General features: G+C 45.6%; 3 annotated features.

The window, feature by feature from the left end:
* Window positions 1210-1990: an enhancer, noted in NCBI's record as "H3K4me1 hESC enhancer chr5:87441563-87442343 (GRCh37/hg19 assembly coordinates)". NCBI's record gives its function as "activates a minimal SCP1, AML or CMV promoter by ChIP-STARR-seq in naive H9 embryonic stem cells {active_cell/tissue: H9 hESC(naive)}" and the evidence as "EXISTENCE:reporter gene assay evidence [ECO:0000049][PMID:30033119]".
* Window positions 6160-6661: an enhancer, noted in NCBI's record as "OCT4 hESC enhancer chr5:87436892-87437393 (GRCh37/hg19 assembly coordinates)". NCBI's record gives its function as "activates a minimal SCP1, AML or CMV promoter by ChIP-STARR-seq in primed H9 embryonic stem cells {active_cell/tissue: H9 hESC(primed)}" and the evidence as "EXISTENCE:reporter gene assay evidence [ECO:0000049][PMID:30033119]".
* Window positions 6248-6297: a silencer, noted in NCBI's record as "silent region_16161". NCBI's record gives its function as "represses an Ori minimal core promoter by ATAC-STARR-seq in GM12878 lymphoblastoid cells {active_cell/tissue: GM12878}" and the evidence as "EXISTENCE:reporter gene assay evidence [ECO:0000049][PMID:35858748]".

Genomic DNA, 7284 nt, shown 5'->3' with positions numbered 1-7284 from the left:
TAATGACAGATCCAGTTACTCTGCACAGTGTCCAGAACTTTATGGACTTGTAAGACTAGATGGACTTGGGGAGCTCATCTGATTCAATTTCTTAATTGTATGGATAAATTAGGCCCCAGCAGAATACGGCATCTCATTTAAAGTCACTAGACATTTAGAGGAAGACCCAGAGTTAAAAATCTCTTCATTTTTAGCTTACTGATCTTTCCAACATTTTACATTCCAGGATGTCTAGAAAAATTATTACTTATATCCAAAATGTAAATGCAATGATTGCTGTGGTGGTGGTTGTGTTCTCACTTATGAAGGCTTCAAGTGTAGATCAATGGTTCTTTTTTGAATCATGAATTTCACTGGGTATCCAGTGAAAGAGATGACCTCCTTTACATAAAAGTAAAGATATATGCATAAAGATACACAATTCTTTTTCATCCTTACTGTATATTAATGGACTCTTAGACTATTAGGAGTGATGGATCAGGTTAGGAAGTCTTTGTAGACAGTGAAAACACAGAGTATTATTGGTTCTAATTATGTAAAATATTCCGGGGAAATTTTAATTTTGATATTATTATTGCCTTGTTATTTTTATATAACTGCAGAATACATTAAAGTAAAATATTTCAAAAACTCTACAATTTCTGAATTGGAGATTATTTAGTTAGATATCTCAAATTAAAAAAGCTGTGACATACTAAGAATAAAAGACTTGAATTTCCCTGGCTAGTTAATAGCAGAGAAAAGACTATATTATGTTGTATGCATAAATTTATACACATATACTAAACTTTAGAGCTGCTTTATGAGAAAAGCCAATTTAAAGGACAAATTTGACTTTTAAAGGATACATTTCTTGTCAATACTATCTATTCTGATTTCTGCTTCAACATATTGGGACATTATGAAGTAAAAGGAGGAATTAAATTAAGAAATGCCCATTAATATGTCTATATTTTTAAAATACCAGCTATTTCTAACTCAACTGTGTAAAAATACAGTATATTTACATTTACAAAAAATTTTGAAAGCAATTTTCATGAAGCTTTAAGTTCAAGAAATGTTAACATTACTTTCAAGGGAAAAGTATTTGAAAATGGAAATACTTTTTGAATTGTTAAATCGATACATTTGTTAACAATCAGGTGGTTTCAGTTCATAAACCACATACAAGCAAGCAGAATAAATAGGAAATAAATTAGGTGCTATTAGAAAGGATTTTAATATTGCAATATTATTGTAGCCATGTACCAGAAACTTCTGTAAAGGATCACCTGGAGGTGATGGGGCCCCAGCATTTGCCTGACAGTCGGTCTGTGACTCACTCTCTGAGAAACGCAAATGCGGATCCTCAGTTTGTCCTGTTGAGGCATTGCTGCCTCCTCTGGAACCGCTATTGTTTTGGAACAACAGTGGCACATCTGCGACAAGATTCGTTCCCACTTCCACACTCATCCTGGACCCTTAGAAACTCTGGGAAGGGAAAATTGTTTTGACTTAAACTCCGTCCAGAACACTGGGTTTTGAAAGGGAGTTATTGCCAGGTGATTAATTCCCACTCCGGAGGTTGTCAGCTTGCTAGAGACGGCTGGTGTCCGCTCGTGGTGTGCAGGGGGGTACTTCCTGCCTGCCTCAGCGACTCTTGTTGCTCTGGGCCCAGAGCTCGGCTTAGTATAGTGAACGACTCCTCTCCGCCCCTCCTGCCCGCCAGGGCTTTCAGGGTTCAGGTTTTAGGTGTTTAACTTTGAACACCATTCATTTCCAGATAACTTTGACCCAGCTGGCCAAAGGCATCAAATGATCAGGAGTGGGTTCCAACTCTGGGGCCTGCAAGAAGAGCAAGCGCTGGCTCTGCACTTCTAGAAGTTCTGCCAACTTTGCTCTTGTTGGTTTCCCGACCCGCTCTCTTCAACTCTCTTCTGAGAGCTGGAGAGAGTAAAGACGCCTCTTAAAACGGAATGCTGAGGGACAGGTTTAATGTAAATAAGAGGCGCCAGAGTCCGCCACTGGTGCACTTGGGCACCAGGTCCCTACCTGGATCTACTCTGCGCTCACCCCTTGGGAATGCGGGACATGAGTAAGATGTGACACCCTGAGCACATTGCTGCTGCTAGAGGACATTGCACGGAGTCTATGCTTTGTTTCGCTTTGCTTTTTAAAATTTTGTACTCTCGTGTTCTGCTTGGAAACATGTTTTACTTACCCACTTACTCCCAACACATCCTCTTAGCTCTTTTTCTGCATCCCTTAACCCCCCAAGATGAACGCGCGTGTCAGCAGCTGTTCTGACTTGCCTCCAGTGACCCACAGGCCAGCTTCTCAGCCCACTATCCCTGACCCCCGGGGTCCCGGGGTCATACTACTCGACTCCAGGCATGAGGGTCCCTCCATCTCGGGACACTACTTTTGGGACTTTTCCGCCCACCGCGGATGAAAGTCAGATAACAACCACTATCAGGGACGCTACGGCAGCCGGGAGCCCCGGAAAGATTGGGCCAAGCCCCTTCCAGAGCCTCTCGTTAGGTCTCAGAAAGACTTTTTTAGGGTCCCTACTCCCTTTTCATCTGAGCTTTACTCTTGACTTTTGTTATGAATTCCCAAAAGGAAGGCAGGCAATAGGGGAGGGACCATGGAGGAAAAAATAAGAGCTAACAGGAGACACTCAGATTATATATTTATTTTATATAAAGAAATGATACATATGTAATTTTAGATTTTCTTCCGAATTAGAGTTCTCAGGCTATAGAAAACCTATTTTTAACACCCGCTTCTCCCATAACGGCCTTGATTGCTCAAATTGCTTCTAATTGGATGGCACACATTACTGGAGACGAAGGACGAATGACAAGCAGCCTTCATTCTTTTGCAGATTTAGATAATGTCTCTGGATGAATATCTTTTCTGATCAGGAAGAACAGGAAAACTCTTAAACTGCCTGCAGTTTTCATAAGGGGTTTGTGCAATAGGGGGAAATGTCCTGACCATCACACGAGCATGGAAATTGATGGCATTTTACAGAAAGCACCGCATAATAATCTAGTGCCACCGTTTTTCCTCCCGGATCTGTCATGGTACAAAGAGTAAACACACTTTTTTTTTTTTAAACTCACTTAGCCTTCCTTCCATCTCTTATGTGGGATCTGTAAAAGTTTTCAGTAAACCTCTTTAAAACGTATACGTTATCCATATCCCCCTTCCCCTTGTTCAAGGCTTGGCCGGCCCTGAGTGCCCTTGGTGCGGCGTGCCAGCCCTGACAGCCGCAAGCAACGGTCATTATTACCTCGCAGACCGGCGCATTTCAGAGTCAGCGACTAGCGGATACCCATGGGCTCCGGGCTATTGTACCACCGAGAGGTGTAAACCCAACTGGAGTTTGCTGAAGGCAAGCTTCCAAGGTGAGGGCTGGGTTTTCTCGGGTGCTTTCGGGCCGATCCGGGGTGGGGCACCTCAGAGGCTAACACTCATCTAAAGCTGGTAGAGGCTGAAATATTATGGACACCTGAACAAATCCGAGACACGCATGATGTCTCGCTAAACTGCAGTTTCATTTTTTCCACTACCCAGAAACAAACAAACAAACAAATACATAAATAAAGTCATTGTTCTAGGCCAGAGAAAATATGCCAACAAGAAGTCACCCTTTCTGTTTCAACTTCAAAGGCAATGGATTTTTCTTGCAATTCTTTTATTTTAGAAAAGGAAACTCAGAATGGCAGGGGGAAGCCCCTCCAGGCCACTTTAAATTTCTTCACAGTAGAGTCCTGGGCGAAGAGTGAAGATCCTGGGATAAGGGTGTTTGTGGGTTCTTTGAATGGAAGCCCACCCAGGGCACCTGGCTGCAGAGTAGGGCGTTGGCACCGCCCGGATCGGTAGCCCGCCGCCTGCGCCTTTCCACCATGCCCAGGCACAAGTTTCCTTTTCTCTTCGTGCAGCAAAGTAAGAATGCCCCAATTTTTGAGGAATCTAACTCTTCTGCTGCATTAAAGGCCCACATGCTCTATAGTTTCACATTTTACATTGGCCCTGAGAATGAGGTTATTAGTCTCATAAGAAAAGATTGGGCAGTAAGAAATGCTAAAAGATGGAATTCCAAATTGGCCCCTGCAGTAGGAGTGTGCGTCACCCCGGCCTTGGCTGGGTCGCCAAACACTGTCGAAACTTTCTGGCTGTCTTTAGAAGATACCCTCTACTAGTCACTTGACGGGCAGGAGGTGCAACGCGGAAGGAAACATCACGGATTGGGGGTACTGGAAACTTTTAAAAGGTCTGGAAAATCCCTCCGATTTAGTGGATGCTTTTCCGCGGCAGTTTAAAAACTGAAAGGCAACATAGAAGCTTCTACTTTAAAAAGGTAGCCCTGGTGATCCAATCCCGATCTTTTGGCTGGCAAAGAGGCAATTGCCTGAAAACGAAATTGGCATTCAAAAAGGGTCAGGTACAGCCCAGAGTCCCTGTACTCATTTTAGACTCAAGAAAAGGCGCTTCCCATCCCTAGCTCTTTTAGAAAGAGAAAGGAAAAGGAGGAGAAAGCAGAAAGGGGGGAGAGCCGAGAGCGCAAGAAAGAAAGAGAAGAGGGGGATATTTAGCAAGTTAAAAGGTTAAATGTTTGAACAGATTTGTAAATATATAGACAACCCTTGTTATTTGGGATGTGTAATAATGCCTTTTTGTGGCGCTGTCTGGCTGGGAGGCTGCCGAGGACCGCTCCCTGGCACCTTCTTCACTAGGAAATGAACAGTAAGTTCATGGACTCAAAAAACAAAAACAGGGCTACCCTCCTTTGGAGGAAAGGGAATTCTCCCTCTATTCGGTCATTGAAAAATAAAAAGAAAAGAAGAAAAAAGAAAGTAAAAGGAAAGCAGGATCAATGAGATTTTATTTTTCTTAGGTATGATTTTTCAGGGAGCAACCCAGAAAGCTGTCTTCAGGCTGAAACAATTTCAAAGTATTGTTTAAGCGGATGACATTCTCCAGCACTCAGTTATCCATTGTGCATCTATTATATCTTTGAACTCAACTCTCTTGTCTAACAAGGTTGTGTGTGTGTGCCTGTTGTGTATGCGTGTGTGTTTAGAAAACCTAGGTTCCCCAGTGGTGCTTCCTTGGCTGAATAGGGTGGGTTTCTTTCGTTTTTCTCGCATTGGTGTTTTCTGGACAACTGTACTGAGCGCTGTTGATGGCATCGGTGCTCTGCCCGTGCCCGTGGGCGGAGGACATAGGCTGTGGGTGTGTCCCGCCCGCAGGCGCGCGTGCGTGTGTGCGTGTTTGTGTGTGTGTGTGTATACACCCATTCTCTGGTGTGCATCAAATGGAGCCTTTTTTTTTTCTTGCCCGTGTCTGCGTCCTGCGTATATTAGTATTATGCAAATAGAGTCATTTCGCTTGAGTATTTTTTTTGGAGGGGGAGGGGATGAACCATTTTAATTCTTCTCTAGTATTTTCTCGGCAGTCTTTCCACTGAGTGTGAATTCATTTGGATGCCTTTTCTGAGGTCCGTCTCTGTGTGTGTGTGTGTGTGTGTGTGTGTGTGTGTGTGTGTGTGGAGGGGGAGACTGCGTGCCGGTCAGTGGGTGTGTGCCTCGGTGTGTGGAAGAGCGTGCACAGCCTGTGAGAACCTTGTGAGCGATATGTGTTCTCTCCAGGTGTTCTGTTTGTCTCTACCTCCCGTGCTTTGCGTTCTCGGAGGTGATTATGTGCATATTTACATATATGTGCCTATTCTCTTGCCTTCATGTATTGTCTTTCTCCACAATCCAGACATTGCATATATATTCTCTTATCTTTTGGCAAAGTGCCTTTTTTATTCCTCGAAGAATATTTATTGATGTGATAATCTGAAATGAAAAGTGGTCTCCCATGAAGGAGATGGAAGAGAAAGGAGTGTTCATCTTTCTTAATAGATGGGGCAGAGCCAGTTGACTGGATCACAGGGTTTCTCTGCACTTTCTGCGTGTGTGTCTGTGTGTGGGGGGTGGGGGCGGGGGCGGGGGCGGAGGCGGGGGCGGGGGAGGAGGGAAAAGGAGCCTTTAACCAGAACAAAGATAGGCCATCGCGCCCCCTTGCGGACAGGCTGCATATTGCGCCGACCAGGCCCGCCCCGGCTTTCTTTAGTCGAATGAATCTTGTAATTTCCTCCGTTAAACCATTCAGGGGCCGCCTCTCAGACCCAGCCCCCGGCCATCAGCCAATCACCAGGCGCCATGCAAATCATCTCTTCCGTTCTCCAAACCCGCGTCAGCCTCTGCGGCTGCTCTGGCCACCCCGCCCCAGCCTCATTTCCTCCCCTCCCCTCCCCTTCCCTCCTTCGCCCCCGCCCGAGCAGCTGCCGGGGAAGAGGGCAGTGCTGGGTGCCTCATGCATATTCAGACCGATCCTCCTCCTCCCTCCACCTCCTGCCCCCTCCTGCCGCCTCCTCCCTTTTCCCCGGCCGCGCCCGCGCTCCTGGACGCGCAGTTCTCCGAGCTCTGGTCCTGAGCCGCTGTTTCCCAGAAGAAGGCCTACGTGAGCTCTTGGAGCAGACGAGGGAAAGGGAGGAAGGCTCTACCCTTAAAATCCTCTCGAAGGTCAAGTTTGAGGCTTGCCGAAAGGAGGAGAAAAGTGTCGAAAAATGCCGCTACAGGGTTTGCGGGAAGGTTCTGCACGGAGACTGGTTGGAAATGCCTTTCTCCCCCTAAATACCAGATTAATTTCTCTGAAACACACAATGTATTTGTCATGCCCAAAGGATGATGATAGATGGTTTTTTAAGCCCAGAGTAAAGTGTGCATTTGTCTTGTATATCAAGGCTACAATGAAACCACGAAGAACTGGAGAGGAGATCACCCAGCGTTGGCTGCTTAATAGGAGCGGGGAGAGCGAGTGAGGAGTAGAGACGGGGGGCGGGGCGAGTGGTGGCCCAAGACCTGCTCCAGGTGGGCTGTTCCCTGTCGGCTCCTGGAACAGGACGGGTAAGCCGACTAAGAGCGCAAACGGGGACCCATGAAAAGAAAAGAAAAAACAAGATCCGGGAATAGTTTGTTACTGTTATTTACATCCAGACTCTGGTTTTCCGGCCCTTTACAGCTGCTGGTGAAGAGTATTCAAGCTTTGAATACTGCTCTGAACTGACCTTGAGGCACATTGAGAGGAAAAATCACTGGAGAAAATCGCGGTTTGTGTAGTGCTTTGAGATCCTCTAACGCGAAAGCAAGAGAATTGTGAAGTGACCTTGTTTCATAGATCTCTCTACGTCCACATTGGAATACTAAGGGACTTTTTAGTGAGAATTGAGTCAGTTCCCCCTTAAAT

The sequence above is a fragment of the Homo sapiens genome, chromosome 5 (genome assembly GCF_000001405.40).
Source record: "Homo sapiens chromosome 5, GRCh38.p14 Primary Assembly".
Lineage (NCBI taxonomy): Eukaryota > Metazoa > Chordata > Mammalia > Primates > Hominidae > Homo > Homo sapiens.
Note: the sequence above shows the minus strand (reverse complement) of the source record. Positions and strands in the feature narration are given on the sequence as shown.